Source organism: Homo sapiens, chromosome 5 (genome assembly GCF_000001405.40).
Source record: "Homo sapiens chromosome 5, GRCh38.p14 Primary Assembly".
NCBI lineage: Eukaryota > Metazoa > Chordata > Mammalia > Primates > Hominidae > Homo > Homo sapiens.
Window position 1 is genome coordinate 69645653 of NC_000005.10, and position 26086 is coordinate 69671738.

General features: G+C 39.6%; 1 protein-coding gene and 2 pseudogenes across 2 annotated transcripts in view, besides 1 other annotated feature; 1 reads left to right on the plus strand and 2 right to left on the minus strand.

Annotated features, from left to right (window-relative positions):
• The window catches only part of GUSBP3 (GUSB pseudogene 3), a 71065-nt pseudogene that overhangs the window by 6190 nt on the left and 38789 nt on the right, over positions 1 to 26086 (minus strand). Inside the window, exon 4 of the transcript NR_027386.2 lies at positions 230 to 417. The product of NR_027386.2 is annotated as a GUSB pseudogene 3 (transcript). The remainder of the gene's footprint in view (positions 1 to 229; positions 418 to 26086) is intronic.
• LOC124900997 (uncharacterized) lies at positions 7597 to 10477 on the minus strand. Its single transcript, XM_047417976.1, has one exon. The coding sequence runs from the start codon at positions 8675 to 8677 to the stop codon at positions 8093 to 8095; it is 585 nt and encodes a 194-aa protein (XP_047273932.1). The 5' UTR covers positions 8678 to 10477; the 3' UTR covers positions 7597 to 8092.
• On the plus strand, positions 7656 to 8345 carry LOC728499 (POM121 membrane glycoprotein (rat) pseudogene; annotated as a pseudogene).
• Positions 16824 to 17377: an enhancer, noted in NCBI's record as "OCT4-NANOG-H3K27ac-H3K4me1 hESC enhancer chr5:68958303-68958856 (GRCh37/hg19 assembly coordinates)". NCBI's record gives its function as "activates a minimal SCP1, AML or CMV promoter by ChIP-STARR-seq in primed H9 embryonic stem cells {active_cell/tissue: H9 hESC(primed)}" and the evidence as "EXISTENCE:reporter gene assay evidence [ECO:0000049][PMID:30033119]".

Here is a 26086-nt window from a genome sequence, read left to right on the forward strand (position 1 = left end):
AGCCTGGGTGACAGAGTGAGACCATCACAAAAACAAACAAATAAATAAATAAATAAATAAATAAATAAATAAATAAATAAAAAATCTGGGCCTCCCACCAAGGGTGGGAAACATCAGAAAGCTCAGAGGACCACACCTGCCCGTTCACCTGTCCTGGGCTCCTGCTGAAGCCAGGGCTACCAGATGGGGGCAAAAGACCTCCCTTACGCAAGTCCCAAACCACCATTACCTCCCACGAGTACAGGTAGGCGGGGTGTTCGTGCATCAGGTACGGCCACCAGAGGTTGGCACCCAGCACCTTCAGCTGGCCCTGGGTCCCAGCCTGGTTGTCCACGACTTTGTTTTCTGCATTCAAAAGACACACTTCCAACTTGAACTGGTTACTGCACTTGACGGAGATCTGGTAATTCACCAGCCCTGCAGGAGGCAAGAGAGACCAGGGCTTAGGGAGGGACATGACCTGGGTCACACAAACGGGAAGGCCCCACAATGACCACTCCCAGGCACTCTCATTTGCTTCTGTTGCTTTTTTTTTTTTTTTTTTGAGATAGAATCTCGCTCTGTCACCCAGGCTGGAGTGCAGTGGCATGATCTGGACTCACTGAAACCTCTGCCTCCCAGGTTCAAGTGATTCTCCTGCCTCAGCCTCTGGAATAGCTGGGATTACAGGCACCTGCCACCACATCCAGCTAATTTTTGTATTGTTAGTAGAGACGGGGTTTCACCACATTAGCCAGGATGGTCTTGATCTCCTGACCTCGTGATCCGCCTGCCTCGGCCTCCCAAAGTGCTGGGATTACAGGCTTGAGCCACCGTGCCCGGCCCTGAACCAATGCGCCCAGCCCGCTTTTAATTTAATTTTTTAATTTTTTTTTTTTTTTTTTTTTTTTTTTTTTTTGAGATGGAGTCTCACTGTCACCCAGGCTGGAGTGTAGTGCTGCGATCCTGACTCGCTGCAACCTCCACCTCTGGAGTTCAGGTGATTCTCCTGCCTCAGCCTTCCGAGTACCTGGGAATACAGGAATGCACCACCATGCCCGGCGAATTTTTCTATTTTCAGTAGAGACGGAGTTTTGCCATGTTGGCCAGGCTGGTCTCGAACTCCTGAACTCAGGTGATCCACCCGCCTCAGTCTCCCAATAGATTACATATATTATTAATGAATTGCTTCCTTTAACACCCTATTCATTGAATTTTCCAGTAAACCACAATTACTAATTACTCCTGAAATCAGAAAAGAGGTTAAAAAGATTTTATAACAGTATCCTATGAAATCTACTACTTTCAAGTAATAGTAGTTGAATTACCAAAACCCGTCACTCAAGCCAATGACTACAATTAAGATATGAGTAACATTTCCTAGATAAATAAAGTCAATTAATTATATTTGCATCTGGGAAATAGAGAAAGTACATATAAGCCATGATTTTGAAGTCAAAAGAGAGAGAATATTTGCCAAGGAGGGGTGAGTTATAGTATGTAATTATAACATACAGAAGTTTTTTGTATGCTGGTAACTAATTTTAATTTCCTACATTTTTATGTAGATTTCTGCTATTCTTGTCCTATTTTCCTAATCATCTTTCTATATGAATGACTACATAATTCTGAGAATACCAAAAGAGACAGACACAGAACCAATCGGATTCCTTTCTTCTTGAAGCTTCTGCACAGCAAAAGAAACTATCAACAGAGTGAACAGACAACCTACAGAATGGGAGAAAATTTTTGCAACAATGCATGTGACAAAGATCTAATGTCCAACACTGATAAGGAACTTAAACAAATTTACAAGAAAAAAAAAAAATCTCATTGGAAAGTGGGCACAGGACATAAACAGACACTTCAAAAGAAGACACACATGCGGCCAACAAGCATATGAGAAAAAGCTCAATATCACTGATCATTAGAGAAATGCAAATCAAAACCACAATGGCATACCATCTCACACCAGTCAGTATGGTTATTATTAAGAAGTCAACGCCGGGCATGGTGGCTCACGCCTATAATCCCAGCACTTCAGGAGGCCAAGGCAGGCAGATCGCATGAGGTCAGGAGTTCCAGACCAGCCTGGACAACCTGGCGAAACCCCGTCTCTACTAAAAATACAAAAATTAGCCCAGCGTGGTGGCGGGTGCCTGTAATCCCAGCTACTCAGGATGCTGAGGCAGGAGAATCGCCTGAACCCGGGAGGCAGAGGTTGTAGTGAGCCGAGATCATACCACTGCACTCTCCAGCTTAGGTGACAGAGCGAGACTCTGTCTCAAAAAAAAAAAAAAAATATTTGAATTTTGTTTAAATCGCTAACACATACTGGGCATTTAATAACAAAAAAAAAGGACATGAGATTGTGATCCTTATGAAGGTTTGAGAGGCATTTCACTAGGGTTCAACATACAGCAGTCTGAAACATACTGTAATAATTTAATCCAATGGCTCATCTACAGCACCTAAAAAGATTACAGCAGATTCTCATTATTCAGTGTAGTTACGGTCTAGAAAGTTCCATGAACAAATAAAAAGTTAGGTTTCAGCAAGCTACTGGTCACACTTTTGTAAGCTTACCAACACCTACTTTTGTTGTATGTGTGCTTATTTAATATATATTGTTGGCCAGGCACAGTGGCTAACGCCTGTAATCCCAGCACTTTGGGAAGCCAAGGCGGGCAGATCATTTGAGGTCTGGAGTTCGAGACCAGCCTGGCCAACGTGGTGAAACCCCGTCTCTACTAAAACTACAAAAAAAAAAAAAAAAAATTAGCCAGGCATGGTGGCGCATGCCTGTAGTCTTAGCTACTTGGGAGGCGAAGGCAGGGGAATCGCTTGAACCCAGGAGGCAGAGGTTGCAGTGAGCCAAGACTGCACCACTGCACTCCAGCCTGAGCAACAGAGTGAGACTCTATCTCAAAAAAAATAATAATAATAATTAATTAAATGAAGAATAAATAAATAATATACATTGTTCATTCATTAACATTGAACTCACAGCCAACGGCACTACAGCACTCACGCCTGAATGGAGTTTATTTAATGCATGTATTTTCTCTGTAAGACACATCACAGACTTCTTGGACTTGTGAATGCTAAGCAGCACTTCAGCACTATGCTTGGGGGTTAATTTAAATGGCAAAACAACCAACAAACAGTACAAAAACAGGAAAAGCATGGCATTAAATAGACCACAAAAAGGATACCTGACTATTGTATGAGAGCTGAAAAAGAAGGCAGAATATCATCCTGTTCAAACTCAAATTCTTTGACACTCTGCGCAAACACATGACTATGAAAGTGCTGTGAGTACTGATTTGGGGGTTACAAAAAATAGTAGGTGAGTTCACAAATACAAAAGCTGAAAACAAGGAGGATCGACTGTATTTTCGTAGACAATCTAATCTCAGAAGATTTCAGTTCAGACAAAAATCATGATAATTACTGTATTACAAAAGGGCACTAGATAGGGGGGAAAGAGTAAAAATCACAATTAAAACAAAGGTTCAAAATTCTGCAGCAACCATATCCAGTTACACTTTAATATGTTTGCGGCAGACTACATTATTGTTCCCAACTCATCACCCCTCCCTATATCTAAAACCTTTCCCCAAGACAATGCAGTTCCTCCTGCTAGAGATCAGGTATATTTATCTATACTATCAATGTTAGCCATGGACAAGGTATGTGCTTTGGCTGACTGAATGTTAGTGGACATGAGAGAAGCAATGGCTTAAAATGTACTTCCAGAACTGGAGTTTCCTTGTGATTCTATCACTGTGACAGAAACACATTCTCAGGTAGTCCACTGATCCAAGGGGGAACAAACACACAGAAAACATACCTAGACTCTATCTGCAGCTTGCAGCCTCACCAAGCCAACAACAGTCAACTCACAGATATGTTAGCAAAAATAAATGTTTTTCGTACCTTAAGTTTTATATAATTATTGACCTGCAGTTAACTGATATACAATATACATTAATCTTAAAATATCAGTATCCCATTAAAAATATTTACATTAAAAACTGAGACCACTTTCTTTCCTCCTTTTTTTTTTTTTTTTTTTTTAAATTAAGAGACAGGGTGTCTCAATGTTGCCCAAGCTGGAGTTCAGTGGCTAGTGGCTATTCACAAGAACGATCATCGCACACTACCTCAAACTCCTGGGATCAAGCAATCCTCCTGCCTCAGCTTTCCAAGTCGCTGGGACTATAAGTGTGTACCACAGCATGTCAGCTCTCTCTCTCCTTCTTGACCTAAAGCCTAGCATAAAATTAGCTAAGTAGAATGTTTCCAAAGATGCCTGCATCAGTATCTCCCATCCCACATAATTTCTGTTTGATTTTGCCATTCACCCATAAAATGGTGGGATCTACCTCCCCTCCTTGCAAATTTGAGCTGGCCCTCTGATCCTGTCTAAGATCTGAAGCCAGATATTAAGGTACTTCATTAATTTCCATGTTTGTCCTCTATGCAACCTAGCAATCAAGCAAGAAGTCAAAACATACTGACATAGTTTGGATGGGTCCCCACCCAAATCTCACCTTGCATTGTAATAATTCCCACGTGTCAAGGGTGGGGCCGGGTGCAGATAACTGAATCATGGGGATGGTTCCCCCCATACTGTTCTCGCGGTAGTGACTAAGTCTCATGAGATCTGATGGTTTTATAAATGGGAGCTCCCCTGCACATGCTCTCTCCTGCCTGCCACTATGTGAGACATGCTTTTGCACCTCCTTGCCTTCCACCATGACTGTGAGGCCTCCCCAGCCATGCAGAACTGTGAGTCAATTCAACCTCTTTCCTTTATAAATTACCCAGTCTCAGGTATGTCTTTATTTGCAGTGTGAGAACAGACTAATACAATAAGTTGATACCAGTAGAGTGGGGTGCTGCTGTAAAGATACCCGAAAATGTGGAAGCAACTTTGGAAATGGGTAACAGGGAGAGGCTGGAACAGTTTGGAAGGCTCAGAAGAGGATAGGAAAATGTGGGAAAGTTTGGAACTTCCTAGAGACTTGTTGAATGGCTTTGACCAAAATGTTAATAGTGATATGGACAACAAGGTCCAGGCGGAGGTGGTCTCAGAGGCAGATGAGGAATTTGTTGGGAAATGGAGTAAAGTCACTCTTACTATGCAAAGACACTGCAGGCATTGTGCACCTGTATTAGAAACGGGCATAAGATAGGCGGGAAAGAGGGAAAATAAGAATTTTTTTCTAGAGTTCCCTACAGATCTGTGGAACTTTGAACTTGAGAGAGATGATTTAAGGTATCTGACAGAAGAAATTTCTAAGCAGCAAAGCATTCGAGAAGAAGCAGAGCATAAAAGTTCAGAAAATTTGTAGCCTGATGATGCAACAGAAAAGAAAAATCTATTTTCTCAGGAGACTGGGTTGTAGAAATTTGCATAAGTAATGAGGAGCCAAATGTTAATCACCAAGACAATGGGGCAAATGTCTCCAGGGCATGTTAGAGACCCTCACAGCAGACCCTCCCATCACAGGCCAGGAGGCTTAGAAGGAAAAATGGTTTTGTGGGTCCAGAACCCCCTGCTGTGTGCAGCCTAGGAACTTGGGGCCCTGCATCCCAGCTGCTCCTGCCATAGGTAAAAGGGGCCAAGGTACACCTCAGGCCATGGCTTCAGAGGGTGCAAGTTCCAAGCCTTTCAGGTTCTAGGTGGTGTTAAGCCTGCAGATGCACCGAAGTCAAGCATTAACGTTCATGAACCTCTGCCTACATTTCAGAAGATGTATGAAAATGCCTGGAAATCCAGGCAAAAGTTTGCTGTGGGGGGGAGGGGAGGGGAGGGGGGGCCCTCATGGATAACCTCTGCTAGGGCAGTGTCAAAGGGAAATATGGGGTTGGAGCTTCCACACAGAGTCCCCACTGGGGTACTGCCAAGCAGAGCTGTGAGAAAAGGGCCACCATCCTCCAGACCCCAGAATGGTAGATCCACTGACAGCTTGCACTGTGTGCCTGGAAAAGCTGCAGACACTCAATGCAGCCAGAAGGGGGGCTGTACCCTGCAAAGCCACAGGGGCGGGGCTGCCCAAGACCCTGGGAACCCACTTCTTGCATCACCTAGATGTGACACATGGAGTCAAAGGAGGTCATTTTGGAGCTTTAAGATTTGCCTGCTGGGTTTTGGACTTGCATGGGGCCTGTAGCTCTTTCGCTTTGGCCAATTTCTCCCATTTGAAACGAGTGTATCTACCCAATGCCTGTATCCCTGTGTATCTAGAAAATAACTAACTTGCTTTTGATTTTACAGGCTCATAGGTGGAAGGGACTTGCCTTGTCTCAGATGAGACTTTGGACTATGGAATTTTGAGTTAATGCTGAAATAAGAGTTTGGGGGACTTAGGGGAAGGCACGATTGCTTTTGAAATATGAGGACATGAGATTTGGGAGGGGCCGGGGAAGAATTATATGGTTTGGCTCTGTCCGCACCCAAATCTCATCTTGAATTGTAACAATTCCCATGTGTCAAGGGTGGGGCCAGGTGGAGATAACTGAATCATGGAGGCAGTTTCCCCCATGCTGTTCTCATGGTAGTGAATAAGTCTCATGAGGTCTGATGGTTTTATAAATGGATGTTCCCCTGCACATGCTCTCTCCTGCCCACCATGTCTGACTAAATTTTGTATTTTTACTAGAGACGGGCTTTCACTATGTTGGCCAGGCTGGCCTCCAACTCCTGATCTCGTGATCCGTCCACCCCGACCTCCCAAAGTGCTAGGATCATAGGCATAAGCCACCACACCCGGCCTCTTTTTTTTCTTTTTCTTTTTTTTATCTGGAGACTGAGTTTTGCACTCGTTGCCCAGGCTGGAGTGCAATGGTGCGATCTCAGCTCACTGCAGTCTCCACCTCAGCAGGAGAGCAGGAATCTTCAGTGATCCACGGGCAAATATGCAGCCATTGTGGGCACCTGTTCCTCCCGCGACCTTTGTGCCCACGTCTCTCCCTCCAGTACCTACTGCACGACCCCCCACGTCCGCCTCCTGCCATTGCCAGCAGGTGCCTTGCGCCGGTACCTGGCTGCGCTTATTCATCCATTATGGTCGCTCTGTCACTGGTGCCATTATGTGCTCACATGCCCACTCCCTCAGGTTTAGAAGTCGCGTTGCCCGGCAACAGAACAATCTGCTGGCTTAGCCTTTGGCCAAGTTGGCAGCTGGACGAGGACGCTCAGAGCCCAGCTCTTGAGAGTTCAAGTATCCGACAGTTCCCCACTGCTCCCAGGAGCGGTTACCCGGGCACTCTGTGCCCCTCATTCCTGTTTGGGCCAAGGCCGAGGACCTGCGAGTAGGGCTCAGTTGCCTGGAGCCCCTTCAGCCCATCCCCCAGTTCACTTTGCTTGTGGGATCTCCCCGTTGCTCCTGCCCCTGGACTGAGTGGCAGGCCATCCTACAAACACCCGCACACTCGACATCAGTGGTGTCAAGACAACTCTAAGAAGGTTTTCCGTGATCCTGCAAGACCTGTGTTCCATCCTGGTGATTCTGTCTTCAATTTCACTGCACAGGTACCACAGTAAGCCAGTGCTGTGTGCTCCGAGTTCCAGGGCATCCCCCAGCTCAGCCACTACACTGAGCACAAGGACTCTGTGGGGCCCAGGAGCAGGTAGTCACCCCTTTGGGGTCCACAACACCCGGCTGTCCCCAGACTTGTGTCCAGGGAAGATAGTGTTGAGGGCCCTCAAGGAGAGCGGGGCAGGGATGCCTGAGCAGGACAAGGACCCCAGAGTCCAAGAAAATCCTGATGATCAGAGAACGGTCCCCGAGGTCACCGGGGATGCACGGTCTGCATTTTGGCCCCTGCGGGACAATGGAGGCCCCTCTCCCTTTGTGCCCAGGCCCGGGCCTCTGCAGACAGACCTCCACGCCCAGAGCTCAGAAATCAGATATAACCACACATCCCAGACATCCTGGACGAGCTCGAGCACCAAACGAAATGCCATCTCCAGCTCCTACAGCTCCACGGGAGGCTTGCCGGGGCTAAAGCAGAGGAGGGGGCCAGCCTCATCCCGCTGCCAGCTGACCCTCAGTTACTCAAAGACAGTGAGTGAGGACAGGCCTCAGGCTGTCTCTTCGGGTCACACACGGTGTGAAAAGGGGGCAGATACAGCACCAGGGCAGACAATCGCCCCAACGGGTGGCTCCCCCAGATCCCAGGACTCTAGGCCCCGTAGACGCAAGATTCCCCTGCTGCCACGCAGGCGAGGGGAGCCTTTGATGCTGCCACCTCCCTTAGAGCTGGGGTACCGGGTCACGGCTGAAGACCTGCACCTGGAAAAAGAGACGGCATTCCAGCGCATCAACAGTGCACTGCACGTTGAGGACAAGGCCATCCCGGACTGCAGACCCTCACGGCCTTCCCACACTTTGTCCTCACTTGCAACAGGGACTTCGGGTGGGCCTCCCGTTTCTAAAGCACCCACTATGGATGCACAGCAGGACAGACCCAAGTCCCAAGACTGCCTGGGCCTACTGGCCCCCCTAGCATCTGCTGCAGAGGTCTCCTCTACAGCTCCCGTGTCTGGGAAGAAGCACAGACCACCAGGACCCCTGTTCTCCTCCTCAGATCCCCTTCCTGCCACCTCTTCCCACTCCGGGGACTCAGCCCAGGACACCTCGCTGATTCCTGCCCCCTTCACACCTGCAAGCAGGGATGCCGGCATCAGAAGAATGTTTCGTGTTCGAAATTGTTTGAGGGGTTTGGGTTTATTTTTGTTGGTTTTTTCTTTTTTTTTTTTGCTTACGTGGGCATCCTTCAGCTTTTAATAATCTGAAAAATTCTATTTACCCATTGTCAATGTGTATAAATTAATCTCAGTCAATTTTATACAATAAAGGGTGAACTTTTATCCATCAAACAATAATTTAACAAAAAATGTACCGGAAGAAGAATGTTCATTACAAATATAGGAAACATAAATATTACCAAATATTGGCAAGCACTGAAATGTTCAGAAATATAAGTCTATTACAGTTATAGCTCTCTCAAGCAAAAAAACAGCAGAGAAAAACTTAGTTTACCTGAGGGGCTATTTATTTACTTAGGGATTTGTTAAAAGGTCAAATGGGGTCACACAGAATACTAAGAAGAGCTGTTCACCCAGGCCTCACTAAGAACTCTTCTTCATGCAGTAGCTATATAGGAATATGACAACTGCTCCTACGACCCAAAGAGGAACTACAGCAACTACTCTTTAGCATCTGTTGCTCCCAACTCTGCTTTGCAATTATATGACTCAAGCATTCTGGCTCCGTTAACTATTACTGCTGTTACTCCCAAGTAAATTCCCTCTAAAAAATAAAAATTTTTAAAGCTGTAATTTAAGCTCTCTGCTGCCTCATGACTTCAATTCCATCAGAGTTACGCATTGTTTCCTCTGTACATCTTTGCTCTGCTTCCATTGCTAATTCCCTAGTAAAGTGTTGTATATTCAAAGTTCCAAAGAAACAGAATATCCAAGACATCACCAATCATCCAAAACACAGTGTAGGAGGCCACAGTTAAGAGAAGCAAGACCATTAGCTCTTTTTATAGGCTCGAGAACAACAGGATGCTTTGGTCCTGTATCAGCAGGACGCTTTTTGGGTAGATCCTACTGCCACCCTACTATCGGGTAGATCCTACTGTCACCCTAGCTATGGGCACATGTCAGAGTCCCATGTAATAAAGGAGACAAAAGGAAACCACCACAAGTATAAACTAAGAAAAGTACTCCAAGGTTTCTAAGAATGGAGCTGTATAACTCACTTTGCCCCGTTTGTTACTTCTCCACGGTACTTACCACCACCTATTACATATATTTTGTTTATAGTCAGTCTTCCCCCATTAGAATGAAAGTTCCGTGAGGATAGGACTATACAGTCAGCCCTCAGTATCCATGGGGGACTGGTTTCAGGATCTCCTGAGGGTAACAAAGGATACTCAAGTCCCTGATATAAAATGACATAGTATTTGCACATCACCTTTGCACATCCTCCCATATACTTCATATCAACTCTAGATCACTCATAATATCCGATGTAAATGTCATGCAAATAGTTATTGTACTATATTGTGTAAGGAATAAGGACAAGAAAAAAGTCTGTACATGTTCAGTACAGACGCAATTTTTTTTTCCAATATTTCCAATCCTTGGTTGCCTTAACGGATGTAGAACCCAGGAATAAGTTCTGGTGTCCTATTGCATAGTAGGATGAGTATAGTTAACAATAACATATTATATATTTGAAAATAGCCAGAAGAGTAGATTTTGAATTTTCTCCCTACAGAAAAATCATTATGCAAATTACCCTGATTTGATCATTACACATTGAGTACATGTATTAAAACATCACATTCTACCCCATATATATGTACAGTTATTATGTGTCCATAAAAATTTAATGTCAATGTGTGAAATAAAATGAAAAAATAAAAATTTTTAAAGCTGTAATTATCTCCATCTGGTAGGAATATATACAATCTGAAATAAAAAATATATTTGTAATTGTTAGGACAAAATAGATTATACATTAAGTCTGCAAATTATAAATTATAAAATTCTCACAGAACCTGAAAAATTATTGATACTGTTAAATATTTAAAAAGCTGTCCTTGGAGAGAAAGAAACCTATCAGATTTACATCAACAAGTGTAATATGTCAGCCTATTACCATCTGCTACAGACTGCATGTTTGTGTTCCCTCAAAATTCATATGATAGGCCCGGCGCGGTGGCTCATGCCTGTAATCCCAGCACTTTGGGAGGCCGAGGCGGGTGGATCATGAGGTCAGGAGATCGAGATCATCCTGGCTAACATGGTAAAACCCCGTCTCTACTGAAAATACAAAAAATTAGCCGGGCGCAGTGGCGGGCGCCTTAGTCCCAGCTACTGAGGAGGCTGACGCAGGAGAATGGCGTGAACCCAGGAGGCGGAGCTTGTAGAGAGCCGAGATTGTGCCACTGCACTCCAGCCTGGGTGACAGACAGAGCGAGACTCTGTCTCAAAAAAAAAAAAAAAAAAAAAAAAATTCATATGATAAAGCCCTAACCCCCAAGGTGAGGATACTGGGAGGCGTGGCCTTTAGGAGAGAATTAGGTTTAGATGAGGTCATGAGAATAGAGCCCCTATGGTGGCATTACTTCCTTTATAAGAGACACTAGAGCTGCTTTTCTCCCTACCATGTGAGGATACCGAGAGAAGATGGCCATTTCCAATCTAGGAAGCAGGCCCTCTTTAAGAAACATAATTTGCCAACACTTTGATCTTGCACTTCCAGTCTGCAGAACTGTGAGAAATATCTGTGTTTTTTTGTTTGTTTGTTTTTGTTTTTTTTGAGACAGAGTCTCATTCTGTCATCCAGGCTGGAGTACAGTGGTGCGATCATGGCTCACTGCAACCTCCGCCTCCCAGGTTCAAGCAATTCTCCCACCTCAGCCTCCCAAGTAGCTCAGACTACAGGCGTGCACCACCACGCCCAGCTAATTTTCGTAGAGACAAGGTTTTGCCATGCTGCCCAGGCTAGTCTCAAACTCCTGAGCTCAAGTTATCCACCTGCCTCGGCCTCCCAAAGTGTTAGGAATACAGGCATAAGCCACCACGCCTGGTCAAAATATCTACTGTTTAAGCTACCTAATTTATGGTATTCTGTTTTAGCAGCTGAAGCAGACTAAGATACCATCCTATAAGCTACAGACCAGCACTATCCAATAGAACTTTATATGACGAGCAAATGTTTTATATCTGTGCTATCCCTTATGTTAGCCACTAGCCACATGTATCCATCAAGTATTTGAAATATGGCTAGTGCAACTAAAGAACTTAATTTTTAATTTTCTTTTTTTTTTTGAGATGGAGTCTCGCTCTGTCCCCCAGGATGGAGTGCAGTGGCGCCATCTCGGCTCACTGCAAACTCTGCCTCCCAGGTTCACGCCATTCTCCTGCCTCAGCCTCCTGAGTAGCTGGGACTGCAGGCGCCCGCCACCACGCCCGGCTAATTTTTTGTATTTTTAATAGAGATGGGGGTTCACCGTCTTAGTAAGGATGGTCTCGATCTCCTGACCTAATGATCTGCCCGCCTCGGCCTCCCAAAGTGCTGGGATTACCGGCGTGAGCCACCACGCCCGGCCAATTTTTATTTTATCTTATTTAAATAACCACATGTGGCTAGTGGCTAATGTATTGAACACTACAGCTGTAGACAATACGAAATAAATATAAAGCAGTCTCAACTTTGGAAAAACAGAAGACTCTTACTGCCTCATAATATAGATGAAAAATGAAATACTAAGATAAGTAAAACGTTCTTTAAAGAACAAAAACAAAAGAAAACCTAATGAAAGCTATAAAAGTCCATTGGATAATAATGCTACCAGTACTAAGGAAGTACAGCCCCTAAGAGTGATTTGCAGTCACAAATATAAAAATGACTATTCAAGTGAACTCCTAAGGTGAAAATTTCTTATTCACCATGCTCCAAAATGGTCTGTAATATTCTTCAGAGATGGCATGGTAAAGTACGATAAAAGGGTAATATTAACAGTATGCTGTCACAGGTGCCATTCTCTTAAAAAAGAAATCCAAAAATAAATATAAATGGAAAGCAAATAATTAATGGAGTTTTGACGGTCAATCAATGGTAAATATTATTGGCATTAGATTTTTCTATTAATTATAGTTTACCTATGATCATGTATTTTTCCATTTAAAAATTACCCTAAAACTTAATGGCTTAAAATAACAAATATGTATGACACAATTCATAGAAGTCAGGGAAATGATGGATTTGGGTAGGTGGTTCTGACTCAAAGTCTCTCATGAGTAAAGGTTGCTGTCATGTTGTTGACCCAGGCAGCATCCCCTGAAGCCTTTAACTTGTGTTGGAAGGTCCGTGTCTTAGTTTGTTTGCACTGTCGCTACAGAATACCATAGACAGGGTAGCTTATAAACAACAGAAACGTTTGTAATGGTACCGGAGGCTGGATGGTGCAAAATCAAGGTGCTTGCAGATTTGGTGTCTGGTCAGAGCCCATTTTTTAGTTCATAGATTACTGTCCTCTAGCTCACATGGCAGAAGGGGCAAGGACGCTTTTTGGGGTCTCTTTTATAAGGGCACTAATCCCCGGCTGGGCACGGTGGCTCACATCTGTAATCCCAGTACTTTGGGAGGCTGAGGCAGGCAGATCACGAGGTCAGGAGTTCCAGACCAGCCTGGCCAGTATGGTGAAACCCCGTCTCTACTAAAAATACAAAAATTAGCCAGGTGTGGTGGTGCGTACCTGTAGTCTCAGCTACTCAGCTACTCAGGAGGCTGAGGCAGAAGAAACACTTGAACCCAGGAGGCAGACGTTGCAGTGAGCTGACATGGCACCACTGCACTCCAGCCTGGGTAACAGAGCAAAACTCTGTCTCAAAAATAAATAAATAAATAAATAAAAATAAAAATAAAAACAAAAAATAATAATCAAGGCACTAATCCCCAACATGAAGACAGACTATCATCTACCAAAAGCTCCACCTCCTACTATCATTACACTGGGGGTTAGGATTTCACAAATTCAGTGCATCATAGTCTGCTTCTAGAATGTTTAATCATTTGGCTGGATATCAGATAGGATGCCTCGGTTCTTCATGTGAGCTTTCTAGAAAAGATAGTTTGGAATTATTTGCATGGTGGCTGGGCTCGTAAAGAGTTGAAGGAGAGAAAGAGAGAGAAACACCAGTAAGGAGCAAATTAGTTCACTCAAAATTAAAACCCTAGCCTTTGTGACCTTGTCTCACAAGGTAACATTCCAATCCTGCGGTGTTTTATTTCTTAGATGGGAGTCACTCAGCTTAGCCTGCCTTCAAGGGGAGGAGTATGAAGCTCCACTTCTTAAACTGAGAAGAATCAACAAATATGTAGATATATATATATTTTTAATAGTATTACAGCTCATGAACCCATTTAAACCCATTTTAGAACTTTAAAGAAATATTTTAAAACGGAATTTTCAATTAAGCAGAAGAAATTGCCAGCTGTGGAACAGTGAACTTTATCGCTGAAATCACACACACATATATACACACACACAGTGCAAACTCATACATGATCAAATCTATAATCTTATTACACAAAGTTTTGTGAGAGGAAAAATGCTTGACTTTTCAAAAGGGCTCATTTATTAAAAATAAAATGACCATTGTGTTCATTTTAGCTGCAACCTTTAAGCAATCAATGACTATATACTTGCTGTAATCATCCTTTAAAATTAGAATTATTGAAAAGCTTTATCACTGATGAATGAAAGAAAGTAATATTGATTTGTGGCCAAGAGAGATAATCTCAGGCAATAAACAGGTGCAGTCTTTGAAGGAATCATTTTATTTTATTACTTTCTGACATTATTGAAGCCAATTTTAAATAAATTCATCATGTTTTTAAATTTAATCACGTATTATTTTATCATACATTAGGTAAAGTTTCAATCTAAGTAACTCCTGGATAAAAAATGAAGTATATCAATTTACAATTACAAATACCCAAATTGTACAGGCATGCATTTTTCAATGACATTTATAAACTGTGTTTTGTTGTTTGTGCCTTGTGTTTGTTTTATTAATCAAATTAATTTATACAGATATATGTATGGAAATGAGACAGATATAACCAGTTCTCTATAAGTAAGCATTATTTAATGGAGTCTTTCCTTTCACTAATGATCATCAGGACAGCTAGGGAAGTGAGTTGAAATTTTCAGGCCATTAGGTTAATAGTTCTAGTAATTCTAGTAATGTTTCGACAGTCATAATATAAATGATACTATGTGGCTTGAATTAATGCATTTTCTTATGTAACAAATAATAAGACAATTTTTAAAAGTGGTAATTACTATTTTTAAATATGACAATTAAAAATAATGAAAGAAAAGAGGTTGTACATTGAGTAGCCATAACATTATCTTTAAACATATTTATTCTTCATTTCCTAACTTTTCCCACCTTTTGGCTAAATCGTATGTTCTTTCTCTAACCTCACTTCTGTTTTATTACTCTCTGGGAAAGATTTTTATATAAAACGTCTAAGCAATCAAACCTAACACAGGATGAATTTCTACACATTACTATACCCTCTGGTCACTATTTTTTTCTTCTCTTTATTGCCCATTTCCCTGTTCTTGAAACATTCCAATTATTTGCCTTCCATGACATTCTACTCTTACTTTTACTTTTCTGTCTCTGATTACTCATTTCCAGTTCCTTTTGTCATCTCCTTGTCTTCCTACACCTGCCAATTAAATTTGAATTTCCTCTGCATTTCATCTTATGTCTCCTTTTCTTCTGCCAAATTCTCTCCTTAGACAAATACAGTCATTCCCATGGTTTTATATCCCACTTATATTCAGGGGCTCTAGAATGTATAGCGCCAGGCCAAATCTATCTTAAGAACTTACTTTACTTAACCAATTACATCTGCATCTGCTCAGGATCATGTAACCCACATCAGCATTTGGCTCTTTTGTAGACCCATTTTTTCTTTTCCTGGAAGTCTATTTTGACACCTACTTTCTGTCACTACCCACGTTTTAGCATTTAGCCTTGTCAATTTACTCTCATCCATATGTAACTCTATCCATTTTCTTCTCTCTATTATGAACAGCAGTTTGAGCCATCATGACCAATTTTGCAGTATCCCTTCTTAAATTAGCCTCCTGTTTCGCATTGGACATTTTCACCCCCCAGCAATTCCACCGATTTCATTCTCGGAAAAATATAAATGAAGAGTTACATTTTTCAATAGCCATAATCATTAAATTTCCATGTGTAAGAAAATGTTCAGAACAGTATCAGTGCATTTATAATAAAATTTTAAAACTTGACCCACAAATCTCTACTTGTCCTTCTAGTTTTATTTCATTTGTCTCTCGTCAATCTCTACATTCTGATCACCACAATCTTTTAATTCATCTGAAAGCTAAGCTCTCTCTTAATTTACATTCTCTATACTTGCAATTTTGTCTACCTAGAAGTGTCTTCTTCCATCTTTGGATTGTTATTGCAAATCCATTGAATAGTTCTCATCTGAATTGTTTCTTCCTTGGGATGACTTATAAACACTTCATCCTACAGCCAAATCAGAAGACCAATATCAAAATCTTTCATCACATCCTAAATTTGCTTATATGTAATTATATGGCAAGAATCTCTTTGTCTTTATAATCATTATTCACTTATCTATGTTTTTTAAAAACTCTTCTAGGTGGTGATGCTAAGCTCCGTAATGTTGGGCTTGTTACCTGTCTCAACTATCTTCCACACCTACCACAGTACCTGCTACATAGATGTATTCAATATATATTTTTAGAATTAGTAAATGATGAGCAAGCGTGTACTTTTGTTCTCTTTCATTACAGTGTTAGAAATGCTATTACAGCATTAGAAAAGATAATCAGAAAGAAAATTTAATAGATCATCAGAAAAAATCCCAAGACTTTTAGGCAAATGAGCCTACAAACACAGGTGGAATGGACTTGCAATTTACCAAGAAATAGGTTTGTCATACTTAGAAACCAACTGCATAAACATGTTTTTATCTATTAATAACTTCATTTTCCAAAACGCTCTACTTTATATGAGACGATTCTTGATGGAAATACCATTTGCTTCTAGGCTCGTTGCTTAAACATAAAGTTAAAAATCTTTGTATGACACATAAAATTGTGGTGACTGCTTAACTTTGCAACTATAGTGCTCCTGAAATGCTCATTTAACCAGTCTGTGTTCCAGACCTACAGAACTTAGATGGTGCTAAAATTGCGCAAAAATTGTGTATTTCTTCTACAACTAACTTCTGATAAAAAGGGGGCAGAGAAGGTTAACTCTCTCCCCCTTTAGCTTTATTTGCTTAGTGAATTTCTACAAAACATAATTTAAGTGCTATATTTTTCCAAGGTTTTAATAAGGAAATAAAAACCGCAATAGGTATCTTAAGCAGAAAGTGCATTTCATACATATACAATAGGAAGGGCTAAAATAACTAAAGTAGCTGTGGCATGGAGGAAGGTTTTGAGTTCTTGAATTCAAAGGCACGCAATCATTTCTGCAATCCTGGGTCAAAAAGATGCTCCTGCTATTAAAACTTTAAGCCTCTTATGCCCATGAAACTGGGGATTAGGCACAAGGATATTGAATCCTACCACTTCCACTACTTCTGAACTATTGTCCCCATGATTTCACTTGCCAGAATCAACAATAGCAAGACAGGCTTTGATCTCTTCCATTTTTCTAAGTCTGATTCATATGCAAACAATCGGTAAGTGGTCTAAGCTGCATTCATAAAGCTAGCTCAAGGGAAGCTGCATTGCTTGTTTTGTTTTGTTTTAGTTTTCTAACCTCTTCAAAGAGTGGAACGAAAGTTGAGGAAACCTGTCCAACAGTCTACCACACACCTTCCATGAAAGGTTCCCCAACACCTCCAACAAAATAATGTAAACACATGCTGGAACCTGTATTACTCTCGCACCATAACACTTCCCACACTTCCCACGATACTTTTTCTCTTCATGGGAATATCCTTCCAAAACATGCTGATATCTCCTAAGCATTATTCATCTGTCGAATTTTCCCACCTATTGTAAGGTCTTCCAATTGTTAGGTTCTTAATAAATATATTTTAAATTATTAAAATTCTGAACTAATGGGTAATCAACTGTACAACCCGAATTGCTGATTTGCATACAGCTGAAGTCCCTCCTCAAAACTTCTGTAATACATGAAACTTAGGCAAATGGTTGGGTCATTACCATATATTACTTTATATTTTTATTTATCAGTATATGTGATTACAGTTATGCTTATGTTAATTGATATGTATATGTACATTGTATTATTCTGTTACATAGCACAGCATTTTGTACTCAAAAAGTGACCAATAATAATAAGCTACATACTTTGGGAAGCATTGCAGGCTAGTCGTACAGTTTTGTTTTGTTTTTTTCCCTGCAGCCTGACAACCTTTTTAGTCATTCACTAAACCTCTCTCAGCTTCAGTTTCTTCATCTGCAACATATAGCAAATAATAAAACTTAACTCAGATGGTTCTAGTGTGAAATAATACAGAGTAAATGTGCCACCAAATACAAACCAATGGCTTGATTGACATAACTCACTGTTAATTTTCTTGAAATGATTCAAAGTATTTTCCAGACAAGCACACACTGAGGGAATTCGTCACCACCAAACGAGTCCTATGAGAAATACTCAAAGGTGTCCCAAACACAAAAATGAAAGGTCAACATTCATCATCATCATCAAAACACATGAAAGTAGCAAACTCATAGGTCTTGTAAAACAGTCACACAAAGTAGGACGAGCAATCAAATAGCAACACAACAGATTTCCACCAAACCACAAAGACAAAGAGACACACAGAAAGAAAAACAAAAAACAACAACAAAATAACCCCAAAGAACTTATAAAACAAGTAGAAAACAAACAGCAATATGGCAGAAAGAAAACCTCATGTATTAACATTAACCTTGAATGTAAATGAATTAAACATTCCACTTAAAATATATAGATTGATAGATATTGGGCCAGGTGCAGTTGCTCACACCTGTAATCCCAGCACTTTGGGAGGCCGAGGTGGGTGGATCACGAGGTCAGGAGTTCGAGGCCAGGCTGGCCAACATAGTGAAACCCTATCTCCATTAAAAATACAAAAATTAGCCAGGCGTGGTGGCCGGCACCTGTAATCCCATCTACTTGGGAGGCTGAAGCAGGAGAATCGCTTGAACCTGCAAGACGGAGTTTGCAGTGAGCCAAGATTGCGCCACTGCACTCCACTCTGGATGACAGAGTGAAACTCCATCTAAAAGTAAAAAAAAAAAAAAGAAAGGTAGATTGATGGAACGAACTAAAAAATGATCCAAAAATATTATGCTTACAAGAAACATATAGACACATACAGACTGAAAAGTAAAGACACATACAGATTTAAAGTAAATGGGTGAAAAAAGATACTCCATGTAACGGAGACTAAAAGCAAGCAGGAATAGCTATACTTATATCAAGTAAAACAGAACTTAAATCTAAAACAGTATAACAATGACAAAGGAAGTCATTACATAATGATAAAGGGATCAATTCAGCAAGAGGATATAACAATTCTAAACACATATGCATCCAACACTAGACCACCAAGATTCATCAAATAAATATTACTAGACATAAAAAAGGAATAGACAGCAATACGATAATACTGGGGGACTTTACCATCTCACTCACAGCATTAAATGTTATCATCAAGACAGAAAACAAATAAACCTAAGACTTAAATTCAACCTTAGATGAAATAGACCTAACTGACATTTACAGAAAATACTACCCAGCAACTACAGAATATACATTCTTAATAAAACCGCAATTTCACCCAACAATCCCACTACTGGAGATCTACCCAAAGGAGAACAGATAATTGTATGAAAAAGGTATCTGCACCCATATGTTTATCACAGCACTATTCACAATAGCAATGTGTCCCTCAGTGGATGATTACATTAATAAATCTGGCACATATGCGCTATAGAATACTATTCAGCTATACAAAAGAATAAAATCATGTCTTTTGTAACAACATGGATGTAACTGGTCATTATTTTAAGTGAAACAAATCAGACACAGAAAGACAAATACTGCATGTTCTCACTTATAACTGGACGCTAAATAATGTATACACATGGACATAGAATGTGGAATGATAGACAACAGAGACTTGGAAATTTCAGGAGGGTGGGAGGAGGGGATGATGAGAAATTATGTAATGAGCACAATGTACATTTTTCAGGTGATGTATATTCTAAAACCCTTACTTCAACACTATGTACTTTATGGAGGTAATAAGATTATATTTGTATCCCATAAATTTACATAAATAAAAAATTGCCTTCTGTACTTACTTTAGCCCAGTTATTGTTAGGTTCAACATTCAGCACTTTACTCAAATTTTCTATAGCTTTCTGGACCTTTTTTTGATATTTATATATAGTAGTGTGGCACAGAAGTGCTAATATTTACCAAAATAAAAGTTATATTTTTAATTAAAAATTAATTAAAAGGTTGTAGAATCTCAGGATGGAATGCAGACTGTTACAAATTTATCTAGCTCTATTATGAACCATACAAAATAACTTCAGTGAGGGACTTAAGGGAAAGGGTGCTAGTCAAAGTGATATTGAAAATGAGTGCAGTCTCTTAAGATGAAAGGCAAAAGAAACTTGTACGAAGGCACTTAATTTAGTTGATAAAGATGTTCTTCTACTAAGGGCAGGTTATCAATTCTGGTACAGCTATATACATATACTGGAAGTGAACAATTAACTAAATAGATGTCACAAAGTAAGAGTCAGGATTTTTATTGTTGGAGTGGGGGTTTAGAGATACAGGAAGGCATTGATGCTTGCGGGACTAGGTTAGAGGTAGTGACATCAGTAAGAACCCATGTTTAGCTTAATACAGACATAGATGGTGATATGGTTTACATTTTGTCCCCTCTCAAACCTCTCGTCCAATTGTAATCGCCAGTGTTGAAGGAGGGGTCTAGTGGGAGGGGACTGGATTATGGGGGCAGATTTCCTCCTTGCTGTTCTTGTGATAATGACTTAGTTCTCACACAATCTGGTTGTTTAAAAGTGTGTAGCATCTCCCCCTTAGTTCTCTTCCTCCTTCTCCAGCCATGTAAGATGTGCCTGCTTCCTCTTTGCCTTCTGCTATGACTGTACGTTTTCTGAGGCTTCCCCATCCTTGCTTCCTGTACAGCCTGTGCAACTGTGAGGCAATTAAAGCTCTTTTCTTTATAAATTACCTAGGATCAGGTAGTTCTTTATAACAATGGGATAATGGACTAATATAGATGTTTACATATAGAAATATTTAAAGATATGTGTCTACATATGTGTAAGAATATACACATTGTTTCTTTGCTCTCTCATCTTAGAGAGCTATGAAAAAATTGATACTCCCTTAGCTACAGGCACAGCTAGCACTTAAATATTGATTTCATATATAGAAAGCAGGGCGTCTTTGAAAGTGGCTGATTCTAAGAATGGGGAAGAAAATACACAAGATGAGCCTGGGACATCCTCTAGTGCCAGAAATTATGAAAATACTAACAAAAATCTATTTGTGAGATATGTCAAACAAGCACAGGGGCCAGGTGAAAGGTCTTTCAATTTCTAGAATAATTTTAGCAACACAATACATTAATTGGTAGTATATTTGGATTATACCCAAAAATGTAATTTTCCTTAGTCCATATTGATATCAATAAATGACTGAATAAACAAATGAATGAGATAAAAGAGGTAAATCTCCTCTGCAAATAATTTACATATGTATTCCAACTAAAGGAAGTCAGCTCTTAAAGACATCTTAAGCAATACTGCAACTGAATTAGCTTTCCAAAGATACTGTCACAATTCATCTATTCCAAGACCTATACATTTCATATTTTAATATCTCCTGAAAATATAATGCATTTTACAATTCAGTGGTATGTCTTAGTTTAATTAGCCACAATGCGAATTACTTGCTTAACGGGACATAAAATAGTGCATTATACAATCTATGGGCTCTTGGACTCAAGAAAATACGATAGAAAGGAGTTTATGTTAGAGTCTGCGCACTGACTAAAGATCAGAGCAGAAAGCAGATTCTAGGAACAGTCACATTTGTGGCAGTCACTGGTCTCGGCATGCAACAAAATTCAAAGTAAATAGTGGTAAGGTGGGAAATGGACAAAGCTATGTAGCTAGAATCAGAAGTCCTTGAAATCAAAACATCAAGATTCAAACTATTTAGGGGCAGTGGGGCTGACGTGGTGACCGTGGGCCTGATCAGATAAAACCTTTACAAAGAAACAGTAGCTCTCAGACTCACCTCCTGAGACAGAGTTGTTCTGAGGGGAAAATGGGTAAGTTTCCACAGTAACATACAGTACTTAAACATACAGTAAGATACAGTACTTAAAGCCCTGACCTGTCCAGTTCCCAACACATCTTTCTTGATGGGCACCTAAATGTCACCTTTTGGTTTTATTTTTGTGTTTTTCTCATCTAAGCTCGGAGAGCAAAGCCTGACAGGGTGAGCCCCCAAAGTGTGTTCATGTCTTAAGAGTGTCCAGAAGCCACCTAGGGAGTGTGCAAGTTTTTCATTTTCATGCCAGGGACAATGTCTCTCTTTATTGAGCTAATGGCAAGGTATGGGCCTCAGAATATGTACAGTTTGAACATATTTGCATCTTCCCTTTAATTAACTGTGAAATCTGTGAGGCTAATGAGAAGAAAATTGATGGGTAGTCGGTGGAAGAATTTTTTTTTCATTGTCATATCTTCAACTTTCCTGGGGTATAATAAGAGATGCACAGTCAATTCAGTATACTTGAAATGTGTGATGTGGTCAAATTTGAGATAGATATATATATATATGTATATACTTTTGGAAATATCACTACATTCACAACCATCATTATGAAAAGTTTTCTTGTGCACCTCAGTAATCAGTCTCTCCCTCCATGCTGTCTCCAGGCAGCCATTTGATTTTCCATCAGGTAACATGAGTGAGAAGAAAATGTTTGTTGCAAGCTATTGAAATTTTGTGGTTGTTCACTTTTTAGAAACTCTTTGGAATTTTCTTTCTCATATCTTTATTAACATATAAAGTGTCTGTCTGGCATACTTTCAGATAATGTAAATAATATACTCAGCAATTGTTTTGTGCTGGGCTTCCATTTAATCTTTCAAGATCATATGGATTTTTATAGCTTTATATGTTGTGTTTGGCATCTTAAGCTCACTATCTACCTACTGACTCTTAAATCCCAAACTCTAAAGAGGTTCTGAAGATTCCAAACAATGGCTTGATAGCTTAAAGTAAAAAAAGCTCAGGATAACTCAAATTTTGTGACTTAGCATGCTTGAGAAAGTTTTTTTTTTTTTTGAGACAGAGTCTCACTCAGTCACCCTGGCTGGAGTGCAGTGGCGGGATCTCGGCTTACTGCAAACTCCGCCTCCCGGGTTCACGCCATTCTCCTGCCTCAGCCTCCCGAGTAGATGGGACTAAGGCGCCCGCCACCGTGCCCGGCTAATTTTTTTTTGTATTTTTTAGTAGAGACGGGGTTTCACCGTGTTACCCACGATGGTCTCGATCACCTGACCTCGTGATCTGCCCACCTTGGCCTCCCAAAGTGCTGGGATTACAGGCGTGAGCCACCTCGCCCGGCCTTGAGAAAGTGCATTTAAGCTCCTTCCTAAATGAATGATTATTTAGTCTTGCAGTGTCCATAATTTCTTTAGGTCACTTACGGAAGTCTCAAACTTGTCTGTAACACCTGATAATAACTTCCAGTACTATTCTAAAATGTAGATTTACTTTATCACATTTTCTTCTAACTTCTACTTGCCCCTGTTGTAACAATCTTCATTCTTCTTTTGTACTTATATTTTCTCCTTTTAAAACTCAATATCTAGGTCCTCTCTTATAATTGTGCTTAAAATTCATCCTGCAGTAGTGTCAGAGCAGGGTTTCTCAAAGTCATTGTGGGGAACTATCGTGTACATTGTAAGATGATTAGCAACATCCCTAGCCTCGACCACCAGATGCCAGTAGCACACCCTCTCTTTCACAGTTTTTTTTTTTTTTTAATCAGAAATATCTGCGCACATTGACAAATGTCCACCGGATGGGAAGAAGAATGTGGGGTGTAAAATTCCCATTTTTGAGACCCACTTGCTTAGAATGTATTAAAGACCTATAATTGAAAATACCTTGGCAAAATCTCCCAAAATTGTCTCTCAAAATAACAGTATATACAGTGTAACATACACAACATCCTGTTATACTAATGAAAAAATCTAAGAAAAACTCTATAGGATGATATTTAGATATTACAGTCACTATATTAACTATTAGGATAATGTGCCACTAATTCCCAATCGTCACTGCTTTCATGTAGTGCTTGCTCCATATTGTCTTAATGTTAATCCTTAACATACACAGCCTAACATATTTATTGATGTGAAAGTTTTTGTTTTATTTTCAACAACACGGTCTCAACCAGGGGTGATTTTCACTACCAGGGACAATTTGTCAATGTTTAGAGACAATTTTAGTTTTTACTGCTGTAGGTAGTGGAGTGTGCTATTCACATCCGGTAAGTTTAGGGCAGGAAAACTGGTAAACCTCCTATAATATGAGGCTAGAGCCCACAACAAAATTATCAGGTCCAAAAATGTCAATAGTATTGAAGGTGAGACAATTTCTAGGGAGATATTACACCTTGATATTCTCATTTAATATGCTGGTAATGTAATCCAGCATTTTTCCAAAAATGAGAATAGCCTGGTGGCCTTAAATGTCATTGTTTTACTCTTACTTACATTGGACTAAAGAATGAGATCAAATGCAGCTGAATAATTTGGATATTTAAAGCAATAACATTTTTCACTAACGCGCATAGGCTTAATGCCTGGGTGACAAAATAATCTGTATACCTATTTACCTATAGGTTTACCTATATAACAAACCTGCACATATACCCCTGAACTGAAAATAAAAGTTAATAAATAAAGTAATTACATTTGTTTAGAAATAAAATAAATTTAGAAATGGAAAATATTGTTGAAAATATTCTAAGAATTTTAAATTTATACATTAAAATAAAAATAATCTGAATATTATTACTAACAGAAAATCTTTGTCTTGATCTCAAATTCCAAGTAGAATACCTTTAGACTATCTCTAGCAATAGCTAACAGAATAAGATTTACAAATCTTGATAGATCATTTTTCATGCCTGTGTCATTTTAAAATGAATTGATGGCTGTTAAAACTTAATTTAATTTGAGTCTCTTCCGGATCATATACATAGTTTTACAGACAGCCATGTTCAATGAAATTATAATATGTAACACAAGAAATATGCCAGATGTAAAGTAAGAATCTCTTTTAAACGCTCTGATATTCAAAAATCTTTATCAGATTTCCTAAACTAACGATTTTAAACAAAACCTTTTAGTTAAGAAAGCATTGGTCTCAATAGTAAATCTGCCAATATGAATTGCTGCATTTTATTTTTGAACTTTCTAAAGGCCATCTGCCAGAGTAATTAGATATAAAATCCTGCATGCAATCTAATATTAGATGAAAAGTTTAAACTACCAATGATACAATATTGATGCACAGAGGAATGAATTGATTTTTTATGTTATTCTCAAATTGAAAGTCAATCTTTTTATAAAATAAATTTATAAATAAATCCAAATATGATATTTTAGCTCACTTTTGACAGTAGGTTTTCAGTTTCTGATGTTAACAATGGCATAATTATGATTTGCTGAATGACTTTAAAGTGATCGGATAAGGAAACAATTAGGGTTTGCAGTAGCTGGAGAAAGAAAAAAAAGAAATATTTAGATATTGCATACTCAATATGGCACATACTACGTCACAGGCTTTAATATCAGTTGACTACTCTCTTTAGAAGGAGTACGGTTTGACCTAGACCAGTTTATTTATTCATTTTTGTAATAATTTTTCCTCATTCTCTTTGACACATTGGTTAACCTAAAATTACTGTGTTGCTTAGGACATTGACTAAAAATCGTAGTCTTTCAGTTTGTGGCTGCTCACAGGATTTTTTTTTTTTTTTTGCTTTGGCTTACTAAATAATCTTTTATTGGAGTTAAAACAACAAAGCTAGTAAAGATATATAAATCAATGCCAAAAAAAAGGAGACAGGCCTACTTATATGCCATTATCTTCTGTTATTGCCGTTGGATAGAAGACAGACATTATCATTTTTAATCAATTGTATACTTCATAAATATGATACAACAGATATTTTTACTTCCAAGATTATACATAGAGTTTTTATGATTCCTTTGTGAGTGTGAACTATATAGCTGTCCCTAAAACATAATTGAGAACAGAAAGGTTTTATTTTTAATTATATAATTTTCTTGCCCAAGTTATATGGATTCATAGGTTACAGAATGTATAACAATATACATTTTTTGCATTTTTAAATTTACTGTATAATTTATTTCTGAAACCAAATTT

Coding starts and splice junctions, on each gene's coding strand:
- LOC124900997 (XM_047417976.1), bottom strand. CDS start 8,677: ATGCCGGCATCCCTGCTTGCAGGTGTGAAGGGGGCAGGAATCAGCGAG.